Source organism: Homo sapiens, chromosome 10 (genome assembly GCF_000001405.40).
Source record: "Homo sapiens chromosome 10, GRCh38.p14 Primary Assembly".
Classification (NCBI taxonomy): Eukaryota; Metazoa; Chordata; class Mammalia; order Primates; family Hominidae; genus Homo; species Homo sapiens.
Genome location: NC_000010.11, coordinates 35,412,205 through 35,439,360, shown reverse-complemented (window position 1 = coordinate 35,439,360; position 27,156 = coordinate 35,412,205). Strand labels below are relative to the sequence as shown.

The following is a 27,156-nucleotide window of genomic DNA, read 5'->3' as shown; positions in this document are numbered from 1 at the left end:
GATGGAACAAAAGAAATTACCCAAACTTAACAATAGAGAGAAATCGAGAAATAGACCAGAATGAAATAAAGCTAATAATAGAGCCACAGGGACTTGTGGGACTGTGAAAAAAGAACTAACATTCTCATCATCAGAGTACCAAGGGAGAAAAGACAGCGGGCAGGGCTTGGAAAGTATATGAAGAAATAACAGCTGAAAAGTTCCCAAATTTGGCAAGAAACAGAAACCCAAGATTCAAAAAGCTAGTTAAACTTTGAAAAACTAAAGACAGAAAAATTCCTCAAAGCAGCCAAAGAAAGATGACACCTACCTATAAGGAAAAAACAATTTGAATGACAGCTGATTGTTCATCAGAAAACAGGAAAAGCCAGAAGAAAGTGGCACGATGCTTGCCAGGGATTGAAAGAAAAGAGGTGACAACCCAGAATCCTGTATCAGCAAAAATATCATTAAGGAATGAAGAGGAAATCAAGATATTTTCATGAAACTAAGAGAAACTGTCACCAGCAGACCTACCCTGAAAGAATGGCTAAACAAAGTTCTCTAAGTGAAAAGGAAATCAAATAAATCAACCTTGGAACATCAGGAAGAAAGGAAGAAGAGGGTGTGTAAAAACAAAGGTAAAATGTAAAAGGCTTTCCTCCTTCTCTTGAATTTTCCAAATTACATTTGACAATTGAAGCAAACAGTGTAACAATGTCTACTGTGGTTCTAAATGTATACAGGAGAAACATTTACGACAATTACATAGCTCCCACATGTACCAAATGACTTGTTATAAACAAAAATATTCACTGAATAATAGTGAAAGATTACAAATAAATGTCCATTAATAGAGGGCTGGTTAACTTAACAATGATACAGCCATACAACAGAATATTATATAACTCTTAAAAAGATGGTTAGGCCAAGCATGATGGCTCATGACTGTAACCTGGGCACTTTGGAAGGCTGAGGCAGGAGGATCACTTGAGCCCAAGAGTTCAAGACTAGCCTGGGAAACATAGTGAGATCTTATCTCTAAAAAAAAAAATTTTTTTTTTAATTAGTCAGGCATGGTGGTGTGCACCTATAATCCCAGCTACTTGGAAGGCTGAGGTGGGAGGACAGCTTTAGCCTGGGAGGCTGAGGCTGTAGTGAGCTGTGATTGCACCACTACACTCCAGCCTGGGAAACAGAAAAGGCCTTGCCTCAGAAAAAAAAAAAAAAAAGAACTCTGAAGATATGTTTTTATGGACAATAAGCAGGGCCACAGCAGTGTCTCCTGGACGCTATCATTTGTATGATGATAAATACGCATGCAGAGACTCTCGAGAGAGAGACACACAGAAGCTGGTAAGAGTATTTGCTGCCAAGCAGAGAACTGGCATCCAGCGATCAGAGTAGGCTGTGGGGTGAAGGGGACAAGTTTTCCTGTACACTATTTTCATTCCTTTCCAGTTTATTATCTATTTAGTATTGTTAATTTTAAAAACTTTTAAAAGAAAGTAAAAAATTCCCAACCCAAAAGCAAGACTTGGAAGGTTTCAGCTAAAGCTAAGGGGAAACAGTAAAACAGTGCTTCCAGGATAGCTAGGTGTTTACATGTATTTAAACATGGCTACAGATTTTATAAAATTCTAGAAAAAAAACCTTTTCTCACTCTATTCATACTAGCTTCATCGAAAAGGTGGTGGTGGTGTTTTTTGGTTTTTTTTTTGAGACAGAGTCTGGCTCTGTCGCCCAGGCTAGAGTGCTGGAGCGTAGTGGTGTGATCTCGGCTCACTGTAACCTCTGCCTCCCCAGCTCAAGCAATACTCCCAACTCATCCTCCCAAGTAGCTGGGACTAAAGGCACATGCCACCATGACTGGTTAATTTTCGTATTTTTTGTAGAGGCAGGTTTTTGCCATGTTACCCAGCTGATCTCGAACTCCTGGGCTTAAGTGATCCTCCCCTCTCCACCTCCCAAAGTGCCTGAAAATGATACTTTAAATAGCCAAATAATAATTTATTGCAAAGTGTTCTATGAATGTTGATCCTAAGGCCACACCTAGGGAAAAATTTGATTTCAAATTATTAGGCCTTTGCCTGAAGACACAGCAAATGTGACATCAGACTCTCAAGGATCCTGGCATTGCAAACCCAGTTCCGTCAAGTGACACTGATATGATTTGGCTCTGTGTCCCCACCCAAATTTCACCTTGAATTGTAATAATCCCCATGTGTCAATGGTGGGGCCGGGTGGAGATAACTGAATCGTGGGGGTGGTTTCCCTCATACTGTTCTCATGATAGTGAGTTCTCACAAGTTCTGATGGTTTTATAAGCGTTTGACATTTCCCCTGCTGTCATTTCTTCTCTTGCCTGCTGACACGTAAGACATGTCTTCCGCCTTCCGCCATGATTGTCAGGCCTCTCCAGCCATGTGGAACTGTGAGTCCATTAAACCTCTTTTTCTTTATAAATTACCCAGTCTCAGGTATATCTTTATTAGCAGTGTGAGAAAAGATTAATACAGTTACCAAATATAAAACTTAAAACTGAATATTATAGATCATGAACCTGTAAACCAAATCACCAACAGAGAAGGAAAAAAAGAAACAGGAAAAAATTAACTCATTTTAAGATTTTTGAAGATTTCATTTTCATCCAACGTACAGATTTCATTTTCATCCAACGTACAGAAGTCAAAGCCACCACCAGTTCTAAAAAGGTAACGTATTTAAGGATCTCAAAGTCATGGAGGAAAAGAGCAACATGTGGGTAAGAGCAAGTGCTGTGCCTCCAGTGTCCTTCCACGAAGCTCTGCCACAAGTCAGAGATCCACAACCCCAGAAACATCATGACCCCCACAACAGCTCTCTCCCTGGAGCAGGGCCCCAAGCTCAGGTGAAACCAGGTCCTACACTGTCAGCCTCCAAAGACTAACTGGAAACCCTTCAACCAACTGCAGGGTAAAGCCAGCAGCAGCAGAAAACCTAACCCCAAGAGCCAGGAGCAAGAGCTTCTGACAAACAGGGAGGGCAGAGGTCACTTTATGCCCAAGATAATCTTTCTAGATACCTGCTGAGGGGTGGGGGACCCATAAGGATCAGCTCACCAGGAAATTGTGAACACTGCATCCCACCACCGCACACACCTTTCTAAAGCCCTGCCTTTCCAAAAGGCGATGTCCAAATCCCTGCTTGGCACTCAGGGTCCCACAAGTCACTCCTGGGCTTCCCTCCTGGCCTTGCCCAGTCCCCATGTCACACTTCCCCATGGCCTGGCTGCTGCTGCTGCCCCACCCCTGCCCAACTCTCCAGCTCCCATGTCTGGGCTTCTCTCTCCACCTGAAACTGTCTCTTGTCCACTATCCAAATTTCATCCCTCTTTCATAACCGAACTTCCTTCCTTTCTGGAACTTCTGCTGACCACCTCCCACCCAGAATTAACTTCCTCCTTCCGAACTACAGGAGGCACTATCCATCGTCACTACTACCATCATAATTAGGAGGAGGAACTTAAACATCTTAGCCATTATCTGTGCCAGATGTTCTCCCATTTAATTCTCACCAATACCTAGCATTTGGTTCCCACAGCAGAGAGGAAGAACCTGAGGCCCAGAGAGATTTAATGAGAGCCTCTGAGCACATGTCCACTGAGTCCTCAACACAAAAGCTTCTGATTGTACCAACAGCTCGCAAGGTCTGTGACTGAAATAGTCTAATATACAAAAGTGTGTAAACAGGTAACCCAGAAAGAACACAGAGCTGTAACGGCAGCTTGACTGTGCCATGTTTTATCTTTAAAATAAAGGTTAAGCATTGTATTGTACAAGACAACGTGTGTGATTATTTTAGTATAGAAATCATCTCTCATATTACTTATCCTCAGGTAGAACCAGTCCTCCACGCAGATGGGCCACACGGGCCTATGAGACAGCCCGATATGACCCACTAGGCCACACTGTTCCCCAAGGGTATGGGGCAGGTTTATTCCACACATTGGGCTTAATCCCTTACAAGGGGCCTTTATGTACATCCTATCTTATTTCAATTTCACAATAAGCCTGTCCATAGGTAGAACAGATAGTTATTTCCATTATCTCACAGACAAGGAAACTGATTACCAGGTAAGTGTAAGTGTCTTACCCTGTAGCTACTGAAGGCCCTGGCAGAGATAGGGACCTGGAGCTTCCAACTCCTAGCCTTAAAATCCATGTTTCCAACCATCCTCTTCTGTTTATTGGCCCTGGATAGACACTCTCCCCAGTCATCTCTCAGACTCATGAAATCCACATGTTGATGCCTCAACTCATTGCCCCAATCCAGGTGCAGCCTCTGCAAGGCAGGGGGGCTTTGGGTTTCCTCATTTGCCTCCTCGCCCCCTGCCTTCTTCACCAGTCCATCATCTCACAGCGCTCAGCACAGATCATTCTGTTCTCTGACATTCTCAAAGTAAAAAGGAGTCGAGAAGCAGGAGATACATTAAGTAGAAAGAAAGTATAAGGGGCACAAAGTGAGGAAAGGGGAGAAAAACAGAAGCAATAAATAACTGAGAGAGCAGAAAAGAGTCTTATCCAAGCAGCAGCCCCAGCTGAGAAGGGCAAATGTGCCTAGACATGGGTCAAAAAATACAGTCATTCTCAGAACTGTGATATGAACAAGGCAAACAGGGGAAGTCATTCTGAAAATACCTACTTATTGGTTTCATTCAAAGCATCCCTCTGAATAAAGAGTGATACTTCCTAAGTGGAAAGGAGAGTCTTGCTCTTAAATGTTTTGTAAAAAGTGTTTGACAAAGGATCACTTAAGGGCAAAATTTACACCAAGAAAAACAGAGTTCAAAATTAAACACTTCCCATTTGAAAACTTTTTTAAATACCATTTGTCAAATAATGCAAGTCTCTAAAATCATAAAATCATATATGTGTAGTATTAGTCCCAAAAGTAAGAGCAGGACAAAACTCTCCTGTCCATAGCCAGGCTCTGTCCCTGAGGATGCGCCACTCCACAGTGCGCTCAGCTGGGCACTCCATCAGGGTCATAACGCATTTGTGAGTGGAGAGATTACACAGCCATCACTTTTCCCTGAACCCATCACACCCAAATCCCCATTTCAGACAGAGGGAGACAACATAATTACTCATGGCAATGGGCCAGTCTTTTCCAGACTTACAGCCTTTGTGGGTAAAAACCAAAGCCACAATGAACGTCCACATCTGCATCACATTAGCAATATGGGCCTCATCCGCCTTCATGCTACATGTCACTGGTTTTTAATACCCTAAAGAGAATAAATTAATAGAAGATTATTTTCCAGCAAAGACAATTCACAGGCAGGCTCTTGCTCCCCTTCCCTGTCACTCACAAGTGTGTAAATATGACTGATGAGATTTGTAGCACTTAAGTTCGCATACAAGGAAATACTGCCACTACTAGTCAAATTCCTGTGGTAACATGCATCACTTTCAGAAACAACTATTTCTTAGCCAGGTGCAGTGGCTCACGCCTGTAATCCTAGCACTTTGAGGAGGCCAAGGCAGAAGGATCACCTGAGGTCAGGAGTTCGAGACCAGCCTGGCCAACATGGTGAAACTCTATCTCTACTAAAAATACAAAAAATTAGGCATGGTGGCACGTGCCTGTGGTCCCAGATACTGGGGAGGCTGAGGCAGGAGAACTGCTTGAACCCAGGAGGCGGAGAATGCAGTAAGCCGAGATCGCACCACTGTACTCCAGCCTGGGTGACAAGAGTGAAACTTCATCTCAAAAAACCACTATTTCTTAAGATGGTAGAACCAAGACTAATACATGTATCATACACTAGAAAATCCATGTTTTTATCTTTTTATTTACAATAACTAACATATCTAATTTTTCTACTTTGGAACACTGAACATTATTTTCCACACCTTTTCTTTGATGACTGTTGTGTTATACTATTTGACAAGAACCTGTCAAATAACTACCCTGAAATCTTCTTATGGTACTGAAGGTATGAAAAGAAACCCCAAAATAGAGGTTTTATTAGATAAATAAAAATAAGGCTGAAAAACATTCTAGGACTTGAAAAAAGTAAATTTAAAAGCTGAGAAGAGAGTACAAAGGAAAAATGTATTTTATTTCATTCAAAACGTTTTACAATAGGAGGAGGGAGATAATCAATGAAAAACCCCACCTTAGTTTACAGGTAGTATCTTTTTTATTATTTTTTGTAGAGACAGGGATCTCACTATGTTGCCCAGGCTGGTCTTTAACTCCTGGGTTCAAGGGATCTTCCCACCTCAGCCTCCCAAAGTGCTGGGATTACAGGTATGAGCCACCGTGCCCAGCCTACAGGCAGTATCTTAAAGAGATGTTAACCTCATATGCACATCAAGAATCTGAATGCTCACTCAGCTGGTAAAACCAAGGTGGTAATGCTAATGGCACGTTAGTCTAGTTCAAAATATTTTTTAGTATTCTTAACCACATTCCAGACACATTAAGGATCAAATAAGATGCTGGCAAAAAAGACAGCAAAGGAACACACTGAGCCCTGGGGCACCTTTGCTGTATAATTAAAAGATTTGTTTTGTCTCTTACATTCTAATAATGGATTTTTCCTAGGGAGAACAGAAAAGTTACTTTTCAGAAAACATTTTAATTTCCAAAGTTAACCATAATTAAATTTATGAAACCCAAAATGTGAACTTGTTTTTGTTTTCATATTAAGGAAATTTCAGCTTGTGATCCTAAGCTTTCAGTGGAAGGAACAGATTGTCTCTCTCAATAAGATGGCTGGTGGACAGATATATATGCTCTACCCAACAGCTTATTAGGAAGAAGTACTTAAATATTACAAAATACACAAAAGTATCATACTCTTATACCCAAAGCATAGCACAGTATGTTCAGTTATTAAGTCAAGTGTCATGAAAATTATATGAAGGTCTCACTAAAGTTCAAAGTTTCAGTCAAAGGTAAGCAGTTTGACAGAAATATTGGTCATTTACTTACAAAATCTAGAGAATCCCCATTTATTAGTGCTTACTGAGTATCAGCACTCTTAGGTTCTTTGGTATAATCTCATTTAATCATCTCAACAGTCATCTTAACCACATTAAGAGGTAGCTATCATTATTCTCATTTTACAAATCAAGACACTGAAGTGGAGAGAAATTAAAACACCTTCCCAAAGCAGAACAGCAAGTCACGGAGCCAAGATTCCAACACAGCACTTACAATTCAAATCTAATGATCCTTCCCCTACACTTAGACAATCTGGGTTAGCTTATACTAATAAAAATACGCCACATGAATCAACTATTTAAGTTACTGATATGCAAGATGATTCTCGCACTGACATTCGCTCCATAATATGACCTCCTTATCTTTGCTGGTGCCACTCCTTGACAAGAGAAAATGAACCATAATTTTTCTCAGACACAGAACTGAATACCTTATAAACTTCCATACCAACAAATCCATGATGTCTTTATTTTACAGATGTAAAAACAGAGGATCACAATAGGAGGCTAATCTCTGGTGGTTTAGAGGCTAGGAGAAAAAAACAACAAAAAACTAGGAGGCTAAGTAACCAACCTAAGAAGGCCACACCCTGTGAGTGGTGGAACCGAGGTCTAACGTAGCCTATGAGGCTCCAAGCCTGAGCCTGGGACCCGATGCTTAGGGTGCTTCTTTTTCCCCAACAAAACGAGCATGGCTTTACTGGATTCTGCAGGAAGAACACGTATCAAAACTCTAAAGAATGACAGTTCAGTCAATGAAAACGAAGTTAAAAATACAGCATTCATTTCCAAAGCATTTGACGGACAGATCAGACAGAATTCAAAGGTTAGAGCAATGACAGACTGTGCTACAACCTCAAGAAATGTTTCTCTCTCTCTCCCCCACCACCACACACAGAGTGGTGTGAGGAGGGGGATGAGTGAGTGTGAGAGAGAGAGAGAGAGAGAGAGAGAGAGAGAGAGAGAGAGAGAGAGAGAGAGAGAGGAGGGGAGGGGAGGGGAGGGGAAGGGGGAGGGGGAGGGGGAGGGGGGGAAGATGTGGGGGGAGGAGGGGAAGATGGGAGGAGAGGAGGAGGGGAGGAGTGAAGGATGCTTCCAAGTGTGAGCAATTTCACTTCCAAGATCAAGCATGGGTGGAAAACATTTAAAGAACAGTAATGGAGTAATTTAAATTATGCTTCTCTGAAATTAGCAGGCTTAGTTTATAAACATATTCACCAGAAAGGTTTATGACCAAAGATTAATGTAAGTATTAATTTTTTTTTTTTTTTGAGATGGAGTCTCATTCTGTCACCAGCCTGGAGTGCAGTGGCACAATCCCGGCTCACTGCAACCTCCGTCTCTCAGGTTCAAGCGATTCTCCTACCTCAGCCTCCTGAGTAGCTGGGACTACAGCAGCACACCACCAGGCCCAGCTAATTTTTGTATTTTTAGTAGAGATGGGGTTTCACCATGTTGGCCAGGATGGTCTCGATCTCTTGACCTTGTGATCCACCCGCGGATCGTGATCGGCCTCCCAAAGTGCTGGGATTACAGGCATGAGCCACCACGCCAAGCCGTATTAAATTTTTTTAAAAATTCTATATACGTAACATTTTTTGAAATATCCCTACCACATAAAATTATGCCCACCTACATAGTTATGCTAGTGATACACATGAGCAAAGAAATCTTTTTCTTATTAAATTCTGTTAAATTTCAAATAACCATTATCCTCAATTCCAATGGACATTGAAATAACAGTTAAACTTCCACCCTCAATCCTCTTTTGTTAAGTAGTTAATACTCTACACTACAGTTGTTATTATGTGGTTAATCTATTTCTAAAGTGAAAGATGCCTGTGAAATTCAAATGGTACCTCCTAATTTATCCATTTGATAACCTGATTTTCAGTCACACGATGATCACATTCTCCCTCTTTCCTTTCCCACTCTTCCCTTCACCTGTGTCTTTAAAAAAAATTACCATGAAATTAACTATGGACGAATGTGAAACTCTATGGCAGGATTTCAACATCTCATCACTTTTTTTTTTTTTTTTTTTTTTTTTGAGACGGAGTCTCGCTCTGTCGCCCAGGCTGGAGTGCAGTGGCGGGATCTCGGCTCACTGCAAGCTCCGCCTCCCGGGTTCACGCCATTCTCCTGCCTCAGCCTCCCAAGTAGCTGGGACTACAGGCGCCCGCCACTACGCCCGGCTAATTTTTTGTATTTTTAGTAGAGACGGGGTTTCACCGTTTTAGCCGGGATGGTCTCGATCTCCTGACCTCGTGATCCGCCCGCCTCGGCCTCCCAAAGTGCTGGGATTACAGGCGTGAGCCACCGCGCCCGGCATCTCATCACTTTTTTTTTGTAATGATGAAACTGAGATAAGGAGGGACTTAGGAACAGAACAAATGGGACATGCAAAGTCTTCTATGTTCCAAAGCTGTTCTTTCATTTCATGCTAAATCTGCTACTAACAGAGCCAGTCACTACTGAACTGTAAGTCAAATATTCAAGGTTAGCGGCTGAATAATCAAGGATTATTTCAGAAAATCATACTCCCTAGAAATTTTGCAATTCACTTGTTTAAAAGGCTTTTATTAAACACCTGTTGTAGCAACAACAGAAATTTCTTTTATAATACATGGCCACATACCTAGAAGAGTTTGCAATGTAGATGAAATGACCCAATAACAGCAACCACAAATGCAGCTACCAATTTACCAGTTACTACATACCAGCAACTGAACTAGGGACGTTACAGTACATTACCTGCATACTCCATTTTCACAGCAACCCCATTTTCTCCCTGTTTTACAGATACGTAAACTGAGGTTAAGAGTTTAAATAATTTGCCTACTATCACAAACCCTAGGATGACACATGTCAAATATTTTCAAACTCTTTTGTCTCAGGACTCCTTTATAACTCAAAATTATTGAAGACCCCAAAAAGCTATGGTTTATATGGGTTCTATCTTTTGGTATTTATGAAATTGGAAATTAAAACTGAGAAATTTTAATGATATTTCTTTATTCATTTTAAGATAACAATAGTAAGTTCATTTATGTTATAATAAAACCTATTTCTACAAAAATAACTTTCTCAAAACAAAAACTGGTGAGATGATGCTGTTTTACATTTTTGAAAACCAAATGTCTGGCTTAAGAGAAAACAACTAGGTTCCCCTGTCTGCTTCAGCGTTCAATCTGTTTCAATATGTTGCTTTGATTGAAATACAAGAATATGAAGAAAATCACAAAGTCAAAGAATACACTTCACTACCCAGCCTGGTTAGACTGCTAGGACCTGGTAAGATTCTGGTAGAAGGTGACTAGAAACACATTATTTTTGAGCAAAACGAATTTTTAAAATCCCCAACCAAAACAAATATAACAGGAAAAATTATTACAACTAAATATAATGTGCTTGTTCCTCAAATTGTTTAGGTTAAAAAAGAATACTTGTGCCTTGCCCTAAGTAAGGGGCCCAAAGGCTTGCTGCCCTAGAGTGGGTTCAGGGTACTTTCCCAACTTGGTCTTCCTCCACTGTTCCTGCAGTGCATGCAACCATCATCCCATTGCACAAACCAGAACGCAGCACCCAACACATCTCTAAACCATGTCCTGTCAATGCCACCACCTAAATCTCTCTCAAACACATCACTTCTCTTCACTTCCACCATCTTCCACCTAGACCACAACTCCTCCCCACATATCCAGTCTCAGTCATTCTGATCCACTCTCTGGAGGAGCCTGCCAGCTCTGTCTGTCTACCCCATTCTCTCTCTCTCTCTCTGCCTTCACCCTTACCCCTTGCTTAAACCCCTTCAATGGCTTCTCACTCCTCTAAGTAAAAATACCAAAATTATTAATATAGCCTACACAGCCATGTTTAATCTGCTCCTGCCTACCTCTCAGGGCTCACCCTCATCACGCACACACACATGTGCACGCTCTCTCATTCCAGCCAGACTGGCTTTCCTGCAGTTCCTGGATGGCAACAACACACAGGCCTTCCTTCTACTCCAGAACACCCCCTACCACCACTATACACCCAACCACCCTTCAGGTCTCAGCTCAATCACAGTGTCTTCAGCAAAATCTTCCTGGAGCCCCAGTCGGGATCAGGTTCTCTCTGTTTTAGGCAATCAAGGAACATACCTGCCACTCATTGGGGTGGCTTGATCTCGGTTGTGAATGCCCATCTCTCCCATTAGACTGTAAAGAACACAAGAGCAGTGACAGCATCTGCTTTGTTCCACATTTTAACTCAATGCCTGCTATGCAGTAAATACATAATGAATATCCATTAAATGAATGAAAGGACAGCATAAATCTGACAATGTACATACATATGTATAGGAAACAATGAGTCTATAAAGATAGTCGGTCCAATTTACTTTCCTTCATCTTCACCACTAGGTAATAGCTGGTACTTAACAGAAGGAAGGGGAGGAGTTGGATGTCCTGACTAAGTGGCACCCACCAAGAGCCACCACCAGGCCCAGGTGGGGCTAGATCCAGAACAGAACTTGAGGGGCTAGGATCCTCTCAACTGCTGGCAACTGTCAGCACTTGTTTTGCTGCTCTTTCCTGCAGGGAAGGTTTAACTTCACTCTGCTTTACCAAGAACTCTGATAGGCTCCCACAGACATTGTACTTTGTTTTGGAAAATCTCTGAAGCTGGTTTCAACTTCCTTGTGACCTACGTTATTTATTTACACATATGACCCTGTGGGTCACAGCAAATTTTCCTTCTATATATGTAACATATGTATGTGTGTATCTTAATAAATATTATCACATTGAAATACACACATATTCATTCATATTTATGGAGCACTTAGGTGTCACATGCATTCTTTCAGTTAATTCTTACCACAAGGCTTCGACAAAACAGAGGGTTAGAGGGGATGTGTAACTTAAGTGCCCAAGGTCACAAGCCGGGAGGTGGCACAGCCACCACTCAACCTGGCTGCATATTAGACTCACCTAGGAAGTTTTAAAAAACCGTGACATCTGGGTGCTTCCACAGGAGTGGGATGGACTCAGGCAGGACAGACTGTAAAGCTACTCAGGGGATGGATTCCATGGGCGCTATGCCCAGCCAGGTGGCATTATCTCTAACACCTGCCCAGTTCTTCACTCCAACATTCTCCTGCCTCAATCCATCCAGCTACCAACAACGCTCGACTGACAAAACTCACTCTATCCAAGCACCCCAGGGGCAGCTGGTGCTGCAGCTGACATGGTAGATTTTTCAAAGATCATTAATAAATTCGTGACAGGGTCTGTGGCATTTAATTACTACTTTAAAGCCCCCAAATATTAAAAGGATTTCAGTTCTCCTCTGTATAAGACACAAATATACTTTTAAAAAGTGTACTAATGTGTCTTAGAAATTGTTTCTGATACTGTGGTTCCAACCCTGTGGACCAAGACAGGGAGCCCAGAGGCACAAAGGCTTCTTCTCATTATAATTCAATCTAATAACAATGAATGAACCACAAGGCCTATTGTGATATGCAGGCTGTGGAAATTTCACTCCTTCCTCAGAACAAAACCAAGAGGTCCTTTCAGTCAGTGTTGGCCTATGCAGATTTGCTAATTCAGAATACTGCAACAGTGGGGAAGGGTTTCTGAAAGACTTCTGGCCTCAAGTTAATGTTTTATGTTTTGGACAAAGGGTCTCAGGAATATAGATATTGGCTTTAAAGTCATCACTGGTTCAGCATCAGAGAATTTCCAGATAACTGACAATTTAATGTATCACACTGTCAAAGCAATTTTAATAACATTCTAAAAACGTATTACACACAATCCTGCCTTCCTAAACACAGCATTTTAAGCAGTATTTTGCTTCTTCTTGATGGCCACCCAAAGTCATTGTCCTAAACCCCATGGACGGTATTGATGCAATGCAGTGGCTACTGCCTGCAGTGAACTATGTGCACCAACACTAAACAGAGTTTGAACTGTGGTGTTTTCTGGGGTCTCAGCTTATGTTTCTGTAGTTTTTCTGTCTCCTTCTTCACTATCAGGCCTTCTTAATAACCTGCTGACAGCTGGAAAACTGGACAACACAGCATGTTTGCAGAGAAGGTTTGAGAGCAAAGACCTAAATGCCAGTGTGTGTGTGTTTGTGTGTTTGTGTGTGTGTGTGTGTGAATGGGCATGTATGCTTGTGAATGGGTTGTGAGAATGGGTCATGTGCCTGTGTGTGAATGAGAGCACACGCACATCTGTGTGTGTGTGTGTGTGTGTGTGTGTGTGTGTGTGTGTGTGTGTGTGCGCGTGCTGGACCAGTGAAGGGAGAAGAGGAGCCAGGGTTTAATTTGGACAGGAACCCAGATGGCAGAAGACTGAGTGGGCTCCTTGGTGCTGCTGGCTATGGCCAGGATTCAGAGTCTCCCCCAGGGTGAAAAGGAAGCTGCAGTCCTCTCCTGAAGCCTCTGAGCAGCATAAAGATGGAGAGACTGCCCTCCTAGAAGAGAATTGGGGTCAGAGTTGGTCACTAAGGGCACTGGATGAGTCACTAACAAGGGTAAGTTTTTGTTGTTTAGTTTGTAGTTTTTCTGATTGCAAAAGCAATACATCTAACTAAACATTTATACAGATTTACACAGATGTAAAAGTTAGAAAGCAGAAAGTCCTCCATAGCAAGGTTACATTCCCTCCACAAGGTACACTCGTGCTCCCAACTATTACAACACATTTTTCCAGATTAAATCATTCATTTCTCCCTTGGAGTTCCCACACTACATATGCTATAAACAAACATTGGTGCATTCTTACCATACTGTTCTTTGTTATATATTTTTGGATACCTTTCCATATTCACACTTACAAAATTCATTTTAAGCCATATATAACATCCCACTCTATGAATGTACCATAACTCAACTAATATTCTATTACGGAGTTATAATAAACAATGCTATGATGAATCCCTACCTTTGCAAACATGTATGAGTATTCCTGGGATAAACTCTGTAAAGTGGAAATTCCTAGGTCAAAGCACATGAATAAATTTAAACAGCCGCCTTCCAATCAGGAAGTACCAGTTTACGAGAGCCAATTTTTTAATCTAATACAATACCAATGCAATAATCTTCAGGCCTATCCAAGGCTCCTGATCAAAACAGGAGAAAACAACAAAGAGTAAGTCAAATGAACTATTATCACAAAGTGCTGTGGGAAATGGGAACTGCAAGCCTGAAACCAGTCTTGTTTGGAGGGCAGCGGCTCCAACATCGGCCTGGCAGTTTCTGGGGCAGAGGAACAGTGTGTGTCTCCCGTGCATGCAGGAGGTATGACTATACATGCTCACAGCACAAGTGGAATCTTCATGGCCACTCCTGGGAACACAGCACACAGCAGCAGGACCTCTTTGGAAGCAGCCATTGTACCGGGGTGGGAGCAGGTTCTCAGAGGCAGAAACCATGATTCTGTTTTTGTTTTTAAAACCAGTGCCACCCCTTACATCTTCACTTAGACTCCCCAACCTGGTGTGGCTGGAGGACAGTGTGGATTAGGCATTTCCCTAACACAAACAGGTTCTTGGCAACAGCGTCAGGGACTTTCTAAAGAACACACTGTACACAAGTTTTAAAGCATCGATTTTGTATCTTTATGCGCCTGGCCAGGCACACTTGGGAACACGCCTTGGTTCTCAGCTAGACTTAGGAGTTGCAAGACTAGGCTCTGATCAGGCTATGTGAGAGCTGGGAGACCCTGGCAAGCACTTAATAGTATCAGACATGCCTCCCTGTGTTGATTCTGTGAGCATCAAATGAGATGAGTGAGAAAATACTCTGTAAGCCCCAAGGCAATGCAGAAATGCAGGGGGGTGTTTACTACAATTATTAGAAAATAACGGCTGGGCGCGGTGGCTCACGCCTGTAATCCCAGCACTTTGGGAGGCCGAGGCGGTCAGATCACCTGAGGTCGGCAGTTCGAGACCAGCCTGACCAACATGGAGAAACCCCGTCTCTACTAAAAATATAAACTTAGCCAGGTGTGGTGGCGCATGCCTGTAATCCCAGCTACTTGGGAGGTTGAGGCAGGAGAATCGCTTGAAACCTGGAGGTGGAGGTTGCGGTGAGCCGAGATCACGCCATTGCACTCCAGCCTGGGCAACAAGAGTGAAACTCCGTCTCAAAAAGAAAAGAAAAGAAAAGAAAAAAACATTTGAGAACTTATGCTAGGCTGGGTGCTGTCTGAATGCTCTAAGGTATACTGACTCATTCAATCCTCATAACTACTCTGCAGGAGCTATGATTACTAACTTCTCCCTCTTGACAGATGAGAAACGAGGCTCCGAGAGTCCACACAACTTAGTCAAGTCCCCAGAGCCCCAGGCAGTGTGGCCACAGAGCCAGGCTCTCACCCTCTCTCTGTTCTGCCACCTTGTTACTGGTATGGGAATTACCTCTCCCAACCCCAGCCTCAGTTTCCTCATTTCCATGTTGAGGTGATCGTCTCAGATACTATCTGAAAAACTCTTCTCTAACCCCTATCTTCTTATAATTTCTATTAGGTGAAAAGTAAGTGACCTTCGGATAATTGTAAGCTTATAGGAGTTCGGAATAAGCAAATTTGAGAATTTTCAAAGGATTATGTCTACAAAAGAGTTCTGCTATTTTTAATCACTTACCTAATCTGGTCATAGCCAGCAACCCAGGACTGAGGCAGGTCAAAGTTCTTCTTGGACAAAAGGTTTCTTTGCATGGGTCTCTGAAGGATTCAGTTACTGAAACCAAACTGAGACATCCGCCACCATTCAACAAACCCAGGAGGAAAAATCCCTTAATAAAATGTACAGTGTACCAAAATAACCTGCTGCTTACAACAAACACCCTCAATGTACGTCTCCCCACCCCACCAAAAAAAAAAAGCCTCTTTCAGCAGAATTTTTTTTTTTTTTTGAGACAGGGTCTCCCTCTGTCACTCAGGCTGGAGTGCATTGGTATAATCATGATTCACTGTAGCCTCAACCTCCCTGGGCTCAGGTAATCCGCGGACCTCAGCCTCCCAAGTAGTTGAGAATACAGGTGCGCGTCACCATGCCCAGCTGATTTTTGCATGTTTTGTAGAGACGGGGTTTTGCCACATTGCCCAGCCTGGTCTCGAACACCTAGGCTCAAGCAATCCAACTGCCTCGGCCTCCTGAAGTGTTGACATTACAGGTGTGAGCTACCACACCTGGCCGAAAATTTTTAAATAAATGAAAAAAGACTCTATAAAAAAAAGTGGAAATGAATTAAAGGCAAACATCACACAGACTAAACACCACCAAAGGACAACTAGTCATTTTACTTTAGGAGACTGGGGAGGTGGAGAGTTCAGCATACAAAACACTAGAAATAGATTCACAAATCAAGTGATTTTTCAGTGCTATTAACTAAAGCAGTAACTGTGGTTGATTCAGTACCATCTAACAAAATGTAAAGTCAGTTACAAAGACTGCACTTAAATAAAAGCAAATACTATGTTATTGTGCTCTTAGAGAAAAATTTTATAAAGGCCTTTTACTAGCTAGACAATTAAATGAGTCCATGTTTTTTAGCAATAAAACAAAAAAATCATGAAGGATAAACAGACATCCTAACACGTAACTAATGCTAAAAAGATTTCATTTAAATGGCACAATTCTCTCTATTCCTTTAACTCTTAAATGACAAAAAAATAAGCAAATATAAATAAATAAATCTCTAATGGAATGCTGATTAAGAGACCTCTCTTCTTGGCCTAATCAATTATAAACCAGAATTAACTGACTAAATGTAAACATAAAACAACATATCTTGAAAGTCTATAACAGCTTTCAACTTTTTAAATTACAAGCACAATAACTGCCATTTTCTGATTGCCTTTATGTGTCAAGTACCTTGCTACTTACTCACATTTAATCTTCTCAAATGCCCACGAGTCAGCTCATACTACAAGACAGGGAAACGCAGGTCAGAGAGGTTACAGAGCTTAGACAAGGCCACACAATCAGTCATGCACTGCAGCCAGGAGCTCGGATCTAATGCTAAGTCCAATGCTTTTTTCAAAACACAACTGCCTATATAGAATTGTAGCTGAATATCATATGAAAAAGCTAACTCATCCCGGGATCAAGGAGGCCACATAGAAGATTCCAGACAGCTGAGGTGCCACGAGCCAGCAAGAATATAGAATAATGTTTTATTGACGACTGTAGGTTTTAAATTTAAATTTTAAAAAAATTTTAAAAGAATAGAAAGGTGTAAAATTAGATGGAAAAATGAGTCAAAAATATTTATAGAATACAAAATAAGTCAAAAAAATGTTTTAAAAAGAATATAGAATAGCATTTAAGAGTGCAGGCTCAGGAGCCAGCTTTTCTGACTTCAACCCTGACTCCTCCACTTGGCACCCTGATGACTGTGGGGCAGTGACTTTCTCTGTGCTTCAGTTTCCCCTCTGCAAAATGGAGATGAGTATCCACCTAAGATTGTTACGGAGACTGAATTAAAATTCACCCAACACTGAGAACCATATCTGGCCCACAGAAATTACTGTATTTATATTTACTGTCAAGAGAAACCTCTGAAGAGAAAGCAGAATGACTAGATTCAGATCTAACAGGCCTGGATATAAGAGCAAGGGCAGAAAACAGGAAAGTAAGTGAAAACAAGCAGGATGAGCTGTAGGGAACGGCATCCTGGAGGAAAACAAGTGACTCAGCTCAAGAAAATGGGAGTCCATCACAGACTCCAGTCAGCAGGGCCAGCTAGAAGAGCACCAGGCAACACGGACAAAAGCCAGAGAGGCATGAAACTGTCCCTGACAAAAGCCACCCGACGCTTCTAAATACCAAATGAAGGCAAAATAAAATTACTTGGTCTTAAATTGGAGGTGAGAAAATGAAGGCAGACCAGCAAGCTCTGTGTTCCCTGGGTCGGGGGTTCTAGAATAACAGAAACAGAGCACCTGCCCAGGACTGGAAGGCACTGATCCAGTGAACCCGCGTCAAGCTGACCATCAGGAGACTGGAGTTAGGATCCACATAGTTAGAGAGAGAGTGGTGCCAAGCACCCATGATAAACCGTGCCTCTGAACTTCCTGCAGCACAGAGACGGGAGCTCATGTGGAAGAGAAGGTAACAAAAGGGCCCTGAAACCAGGAATGAATTTAACAAAGAAATTCCCTCTCCTTTTACACTTGGCCTAGAAAGGTGATCCAGGAACAACACCTGAGTGGGCTTCTCCAGAAGCGGCCTGTCCAACCCGTGTGGCCGTCCTCAGCCAGGTCCTTTGAACCTCGTCCTACACCCAAAATCCCACCCCAAAGCAGAGCCGGCACTGGCATAGGTGCACACAGCCTGACTTCAAACAGGCCTATCCACTGGGCTGGCTGTGTGACTAACAAATAAATGTTAAGTACGCAAATTTACACTTGGCCATGACTTGCTCAAAATTGGCTTAAAATGCTGCAGGGTATGATTCTGAATCAGTAAACAACAATACATTTTTCACTTCAGTCAGCCAAACACAGAGTTCAAATAAGATTTTGAAATTAGAATTCAGACTCATTGCCATTTAGGCTGTGAATTAACAGTTAAAAATTAGTCTCCGTTCACATTCAGCTTAGGTTTGATGAGCAAAACTGCCAAAAGAAAGCATCTGTTTTTGCGGTTTGAAAACATATTTGCTTTAAAAAAGTTTACTTCATATTCAGTCCCTACTTTTTAGGTGAGAGTCTGATTTTGTTTTCCAGTGAGATTCTGGTGTGAGATTGCGACTTCCTCATGAATTGGTCATTGGGAACTGGGTAAGGTGATCCTAGATCCCACAGTGCACTCTCCAGAATCCCCATCAGGTGCTGAGTTGCTGAGTTGCACAAACATGTTCATCTCAAACTGAAGATATGCAGAAAGAGTAGTTGCAAAGTCACTGAAAAGCTACCTGTGCCAAATCAGAGACCCCAAAATATCACAGCAGCTTCACATTTTCATGAGAAACAAGAGGGCACAAGTGAGAGAGAGCCAGGAAAACCCAGGTGGGCCTGGTTTCTAGGGCTCGCTGCTTTTAGGGCCACTGGGGTCGGATCCCACTCCACCTCCACTGCTCACCAAAGCAAACAACATCAACTTTACCAAATATTCCTCTTGCTACAGAGCAAGACATGATTCATTCAGTATCACTATATCCTCCCACACACAAACAAAGGATGCACCATGATCCAGATTTCTTTAGGAAATTAGCAGCTTAATGAAAACTTCTTGAACTTATATACATGATGATTCTTCCACTATTTTATCTGTAAAAGATAGTCACAGGAAAAATCAGGCAAGCACAGACATAGGACCTAAATTAAGAACAATAGAAAATTAAGAACAGGAGTCAGCAAAACTTTTCATGTAGAGAAAAAACTAGATAAGAAAGAAACCATCTGCAGGACCAAAGGGCACCATTTATTTTGAACTGTACTAAAAAAAAAAAAAAAAAAAATTACAGCCATATCTATTTCTTCTTTTAATTATAAAGTTTGCCTAGAAATTAGTAATCTGTCAGCCTATTTCCTAATTTCAGCAGTCACAATGCTGTATGAATGACCTAAAAGTATCAAAACCTAAAGTATTATATACCACACACACACACATAAATGCACACATATATTTACGTAAACGTATATAAAGAGAGACATGAGATAAAGCAGTTAAAATCAATCTGTAGGACTAATTGAGTTGTATATCAAATGAGTTGATATGCAACTAAAATGAGCTGTATATCTAATGGGGTTTAGTTTTGAATTATCTCCAAATTAGCTATCCAATAACTTCCTCAGACCGATAACTTATCACCTTAAAAATCCTCCAGATTGCTAAAAAAAAAAAAAAAGGAACGGTCTAATGCAACCCAGTCCTTCCCTCATGGTCCATGGCCACCACCCTAGCACATACCCTGGGTCATACCTGGATTACTTTTTCTCCCGTCAGCCTTCCTACCACCTTTCTCTTTCTACCTCGGATCCAACCTGTGCCATTCTGCCAGGGTTTCAATACCTCTAAAACACTTCCTTCATACCATTTCTTTGCTTAAAATTTTTAATGCTCAAAGGATAAGCCCAAATTCCTTCACATCAAACCACATTAGAGATGCTTCACAATAAACTTCAACCTACTTTTTAATTAACTGTTCTTCAAGAATTCCCAAATAATAGTAATACAATTGAGCACCCACAGTATGTCAAAATAGTATCCTAACTACTTCACATGCATTAATTCATAAGGACAATAGGACATAAATACTATTATATCCCACCCGGGTGCGGTGGCTCATGCCTATAATCTCAGCACTTTGGGAGGCGGGTTGATCACGAGGTCAGGAATTCAAGACCAGCCTGGCCAACATGGTGAAACCCCATCTCTACTAAAAATACAAAAATTAGCTGGGTGTGGTGGCGCGTGCCTATAATCCCAGCTACTCGGGAGGCTGAGGCACAAGAATTGCTTGAACCCAGGAGGCGGAGGTTGCAGTGAGCAGAGATAGCGCCACTGCACTCCAGCCTGGTGACAGAGAGATTAAAAAAAAAAAAACTACTATTATATCCCCATTCTACAGATGAAGAAACTGAGCACAGCAGAGTGAAAGAAACCGCCTACATCACACCTCACATGAGCAAGCAACAGGGCCAGGGTTCATACCAGGCATTCTGACTCCAGAGCCTCACTGGGAATTGCTAGGCTGTGCTCGCTCTACCTCCACTGTCCCCCACATACGCCCCCTACACTTGAGCACCCTCTACTCTGAGCAACGGAGGCATATTCTCAGTTACCGCTTACCCCATCTGTTATCATTGTTATGGGGCACCACGACCACACCACCTGAATGCACAGGAGAGGGCCTGTGGACAAGAGGACACATTTAATTCTGTCCGTAGGACATGGCTCCCACTGCTTCATAGATGAAAACTGATTGCCCAATTTCTCCATAGGCTCAAGCAAGGGCATGTTTTTTTCTATCTTGTTCTCTCCATCTTCCCTCCTGGTAGAAGAGAGCTTTGCAGTACAGGTTTCCTTGAGAAAGTGTGGTGATCAAGCCGGGGGTGGGGGTTTCTCAGCCTTTTCATTCCTCCACCCCCGGCTACAGGCAGACACAGCTACACATTTGGTGTAGAAAAAGCTCACTAAACTCTCCATCCAGGTCACTGAAGAAAGTTTCCTACTTCCCTGCTCCCTGCTGTTGATATTCACAAGCCCTGATATAAAAGAGAGCATTTAGGCAGTTCTGTTATATAAACTCTCAGCCCTTCACTAAAATTGAAGCTAAATGATTCAGTTTCTACTTTGCAGCATAAACCCCACTTTATACTCAAAAGTCTTATCCTCAAGCTTTACTGATGATTTTTCCTAAAGGAGACATATTCCAAAAGGCCTGGGCTTAGAGCTTTTTTAGACTTACTGGAAATGGTACCAGCTGAATGTCACACAGCATCTTGCTGAAGGCTTTTGGAAACAGCTGATGAAAAAAAGAGAACAGATTGCTAGAGAGGTGAACTATTCCTGGTAGCTTCCTCTTCACTCTCCCAATTCTGTCAACCCAGAGACAGGATTAGAGACCCCTAAAAATGTAATTTAATCTCTTACAATTCTCTGGAGCATAACAGATTGGGCTCTGATAGATGGCTTGTTCATTATTATTAGAATATGCAAGTTAAAAGAAATTAATGCCATTAAAAGATGCAGGTCTGATTCCTTAAAACACCTAAAAGAAATAACAAAAGGCAAACACCCTAGAATTAAAACTACACGACCAAAAGCTCTACAAATCATCTGGTGTCTATAAACACCTCTTAAGGAGTTTTGTTTTAACCTTCCCCTTTATTAAAACAAAGAAAAACATGCTCAAACATTTTAGCTAAAACTGACCATCATCAACTTCTCTTTCCCTCATACATCATTTCATATTTGTAACAGTCCTATTAGTGACCCCATTATACAGATGGTGACATTAAGGCAGAAAAGTTAAATGATTTGCTCAAAGTCACATGGTAAGTGGTGAATCAAGAGCTGAGACTCAGATGCCAGAGCCCCTGCTCTGGGCCACTCTGCTCCACAGCTAATGGGATCGGCTTGTCCTCTTACTCCCTGAAAGGCACTGTGGAATGAGAACACCTCTTTGCAATCCACAAAGATGACTGATTCTAAATACCTCCTCGACAGAAAAGCTGTACTGAGAGGTCAAAGCAAAGACTGGCATTCCACGTGCTTCCCAGCATTTCCTGGTCATCCTTGCAATCAGCCAGGGCCACAATGGAGCATAAGAAGTGATGTGTTTCATTTCCACAGTAAGGCAGTAAGTATGCCTCTCTCGACTCTGTGTTACTGCTGAAGAAGGTGGCCACAGGATGGAGGAGGGTTAATCTGCATGGTTTTGTTTAAGCAAGAAATACACTTTCACTGTTTGATGGGTTATGAAGGCTAGTATTAATGACCCTAGACTTCAGTTTCTTTCCTGCTACACTCAGGCTGGGCTTTCTCTTCCCTGGTTTCCTCTAGTCTAGAGTGTAGTCCCGCTGCCACCTGTCTGAAGAGTTGATTTTGCCCCCACAGGCCATCAACAGTCACAGCTGGAGTGATCTCCAGGGCAACAGGGCCACAAAAGCAGGTGGTCCGCGGCCCTCCTTCCAACTGGGCCCCATTTCAGCCATCTGTTAAAGGTTGCTCACGTTCACAACCAGACAGTAACAACCAAATAAATCATGCCACATCATTTCATATAATAAAAAAGCACAGAAAGCAACAGGAAATCTTTTGTTCTATGGTATCTTCACCACCATTTGCTCAATTAAGTCCAATTTTGAAATTTAAGAGATAACTAGGTAATTATACGTCATGGTGCTTCCCCAAACTCATGAATTATTTTATGCCCCTTTCCAAAATTAGATTCTAATTTCTCCCCAATCAAAAGGATTCCCCATTTTATTTTATTATTTTTAGAAGACGGTGTCCCACTATGTTGCCCAGGCTGGTCTCAAACTCCTAGACGCAAAGAATCCTCCCGTTTCAACCTCCCAAAGTGCTGAGATTACAGGCATGAGCCACCATTAATGGCCCTCCACTTTAAATAAAGAGTGCTGCATACCTGGCTAAACAGCACATCTACAGAAATCCACCAATGTCAGCATCATCAAAGTACACGGTAGGTAGGCAAGGAGAGAAGTAGCACCCTACAAGGACACACACACACACACACACACACACACACACACGGGTGCCACAAGTTTCCAGATCAGGTAACATGGCACTGAACAGCACCCCACGGGTACCAGTGTCATAACCTGCCAAAAATGCCAGTTTTCTTCTTTGATCTTCTTTGAACATCAGCTGCCAAAAACATTGTATAAAGCTGCTCTTTCAGGAAGGATAGGGAAAAAAGAGCAACTAATTTCTTCCTGACATCCAATACACCAATTCTAAATGAAGAAAAGATGCCTTTTAAAAAATCATTGGTTTTTATCTATAAAACTCTCTGTCGATCTGTGCAGTCAGAGCGGGCACTGCCACCTGCTCGGCCCACAGGATGGCTGAGCCCATGTGTGAAAGGTACAGCAAGAGGGAGCTGGCCTACAGTGATCTGGAAGTAAGCAGCCCAATTCCTGAGTGGGGCCACACATTCCCAATCTCCCCCAAACCTCAGCCTGACCCAGGCTTCTCAGGATGCAACAGAAGCTGGGAAACACATCAGCAGCTCTGACTTCTCGACTCGCATCCTTTCTTGTCTCCTGCCAAGAGCAGAGGAGACAGATGTGAGCAACAAACATGTTCCCAAGCAGCCTCCCCTGCAGACTGAGGAAAGGAGCCCAAAACTAATCCTACCATTACCCAGGCTAAAAGCCCTTCTGCCCTCAGGACCCAGCTCCATCTCCTCTGAGAGTCCACAAAGCCCTTCTGCCTTCAGGAAAGAGTTTCCATCTTCTCAAGGCCCAAAAAGGCTTTCTGCCCTGAGGATTAGGCACCAGCTCCCCTGAGGGCCAACAAAGCCCTTCTACCCTCAAGGCTAGGCTCCATCTATCCAAGGCCTACAAAGCCCACCTGCCGTCAGGACCAGGCTCTATCTCTTCTGAGAAACAACACAGCCCTCCTGCCCTCAGGACAGGGCTTCCATCCTCTCAAGGACCCAAAAGTCTTTCTGCCCTGAGGACTGGGCTCCATCTCCTCTGAGGACCAACAAAGCCCATCTGCCCTTAGGGCCAGGCTCCATCTCCTCTGAGTGCACGGCCTGCCCCCATGCCACTCTCCCAGCTTTATTCTCCCTCCTTTTATATGACTTAAAATCCATCCTCAGGAAACTACTGATCTTCCCCTAAAACTACATCATGCTTTGCCAAGTTCCAGCATCTCTGCTCCTGCTGTTCCCTCCGCCTAGAATGATCCACTTCATCCTGGGTCCTTGTCTCTTCTTTATGGAACTAAGTTTTTGCATCCTTCAGAGCAGGGTCACTCTCAAAGCACGGCTTGACAAGGCTTCAGCTCAATTGCTCAAGCTACTCCAAATACACTGCATTTGTGATGTACCCCGCTTCCAACCAGACTGTTACCCTAACCCTCTTTTATGTGTGAAAATTCTGGAGCTACCACTTCAAAGACCAGTTCACATCTCACCTTCACCGTGAAAATCTCATCTGATAGTGAAGTGAATCACTCCCTCCCACCATGGCCCCCAACTTGCTGAAGTCATGCTGCAAAAGTCTCACGATTACAAGATGTATCACGGAGTCCTACTCTGTGGCAGGCAGGTCTAAGGTTCTCACCCACCCAATGATTCCCGCCTCCTGGTATTCATGCTCTTATGTAATCCCCTTTCCTAAGTGCGAGAGGGGCCTGTGACTTGCTGATAAGCAACAGAATAGGGCACAGGTGATGTCACCTCTGTGCTAAGGCAGCATGAGACAATGACTTCCCCCCTGCAAGTTGTCTCTCTCTGGCTGGCTTTGATGAAGTAATAACTCCCATGGTGGAAAAACCCACAGGACACGGAACGTGGGGCAGCCTCCAGCCAGCAGCCAGCAAGGAACTGTGGCCCTCAGTCTCATAACTTGAAAGAAATGGAATCCTTCCAGCACCCAGGTTCTGCGAGGGATCTTGGAAGGGGATCCTCCCCAGGCAAGTCTTCAGACGAGACCCTAGCCATGGAAGTATCTTGACTGCAGCCTCGTCAGAGACTGGGAAGCACAGGACCCAGCCAAGCCATGCTCCGACTCATGCCCCACAGAAACTGTGATAGAGTCAATGTGTGTTGTCTTAAGCTGCTGAGTTTCTGGTAACTTGTTACACAGCAAGGAAACTAACACAGGAAAAAATAGGCCTATTTTTTAGCCTAGAAAAACCCTGGGTTAAAAAACATATCTTTATTTGCAAATCTACATTTTGACAGCAGCTCAACTGCAGAGGGGAACCAGTGAAGTCCAGGTCAGCCTCAGTGGCTCTGCTTCTCCTCCCTTTGTGAAGTGGGGCAAAAGCGACGTGCCCGATGCATGTCAGAACTCCTCTCTCTCTCCCTCACTTCTCAGTCAAGTTCTGAAAAGTTGAGCCTCCAAATCTCTACCGCATTTCCCGCTTCAGTGCCACTGGAGCCTTTTTCTTCCTCAACTCCCGATATTCCCATAGCCATGGTGCTGGGCCCTGAGCTTGCCTGCCCTGCAGTTAGTGACGGCCACTCTCTCCTGCTGAACGCTCTCCTCCACACAGTACATCACCTTCCCTGGTTGTGCTCTCGCTGTAAGAATATCCCCTCTAAATCTTCAAAAATCTTCCTCCCCTGGCCATTCCTACACTGTATGTCCCAGAGCTTCTGTCCCAGACACTTCCAAGTTTTACAGTCTGACTCTGCAATTTCACCCATTCTAATGATAAAGCTCAAATATACATTTTTAGGGCAGAATCACATATATCCAATGACTCACTGCATATCCTCACCTCAGTGTCTCACAGTCACCTCAAACTCTAAACATAACAACAAAATACATCATCTTCCCTTTCACTATTTTTGCTCTCTGTCTACTGTATTCCTAGCAGTGGTGATTTCAGTCACCAATATCCACTGACTCACCACCCAGTTCACCCCACATTCCTTCCCCTTTAAACTCCCCATATCCAACCACCTCCACCCCTAAATATGTCTGGAATGTGTCCGACCTTTTCCTACCTTCCTTCAGACCTTCACCACTTCCCTCTGCAACTCATCTCCCCGATTCTAGTCTTGGCTTCTTCTAATCTAGCTCCCAAGTGTCCCATGAAAATGGCATTAAAATTACCTCTTGGTGTCTTCCTTTTTTGGTTCCTTCCTTCTTATCTCTCCAACACAATACCAAAAGACTAAACTCACCATTCATTCACCAGACACTGTTCTGGACACTGGAGATACAGCAGCAAGCAAAACATGGCCCCCAGGAAGCAGTCCACTATTTCCAGCCTCCAGCTGCAATTATGCCATCCCCAACCCAAAGCGTGATCCACATCCTCTTGCCCGCCGCGCAAATTCTTTTTTTTTTTTTTTTTTTTTTTTTTTTGAGACAGAGTCTCGCTCTGTCGCCCAGGCTGGAGTGCAGTGGCGTGATCTCGGCTCACTGCAACCTCCGCCTCCTGGGTTCGAGCAATTCTCCTGCCTCAGCCTCCCAAGTAGCTGAGACCACAGGAACACGCTGCCACACCCAGCTAATTTTTTTTTTTTTTTTGTATTTTAGTAGAGACAGAGTTTCACCGTGTTGCCTAGGCTGGTCGCAAACTTCTGAGTTCAGGCAATCTACCCACCTTGGCCTCCCAAAGGGCTGGGATTACAGACATGAGCCACAGCGCCCAGCTGCAAATTCTTCATTAAATCCTCAACAGCTAGGCTGGATGTCCCCCCTCCTCTGAGAACACTGACCTCATACTTCCCTGCTGCCAGCCCTTCCCACCCTCTTCTCTGCAGCCTCTGTACTTGGGAATGCTGTGATTCTTCTATCTGTCAAGTTGTATAGCAATGCATTTGATTATACTCCCTCTGTCCTTCTATACTGAGTTCCTCCAGGGTTTCTATTGATCTCTGAATCCTCCATGCCTTAGCACAATGCCTAATTTTTTATAGGCAATCAATAAATGTTAAAGTAACTGAATCTCCATCTGCTGTAGATTGGATTACTGTTTCCAACTGCCCACTCCCTCCCTGTAACGAAGTTACAACTTC

At 43.0% G+C, this 27,156-nt stretch overlaps 1 protein-coding gene across 5 annotated transcripts in view, besides 1 other annotated feature; it reads right to left on the bottom strand.

The window, feature by feature from the left end:
• CCNY (cyclin Y) overlaps positions 1–27,156 on the bottom strand; it is a 325,643-nt gene that overhangs the window by 133,307 nt on the left and 165,180 nt on the right. The gene's annotated exons all lie outside the window — the stretch shown is intronic.
• Positions 5,457–5,526: a silencer, noted in NCBI's record as "silent region_2306". NCBI's record gives its function as "represses an Ori minimal core promoter by ATAC-STARR-seq in GM12878 lymphoblastoid cells {active_cell/tissue: GM12878}" and the evidence as "EXISTENCE:reporter gene assay evidence [ECO:0000049][PMID:35858748]".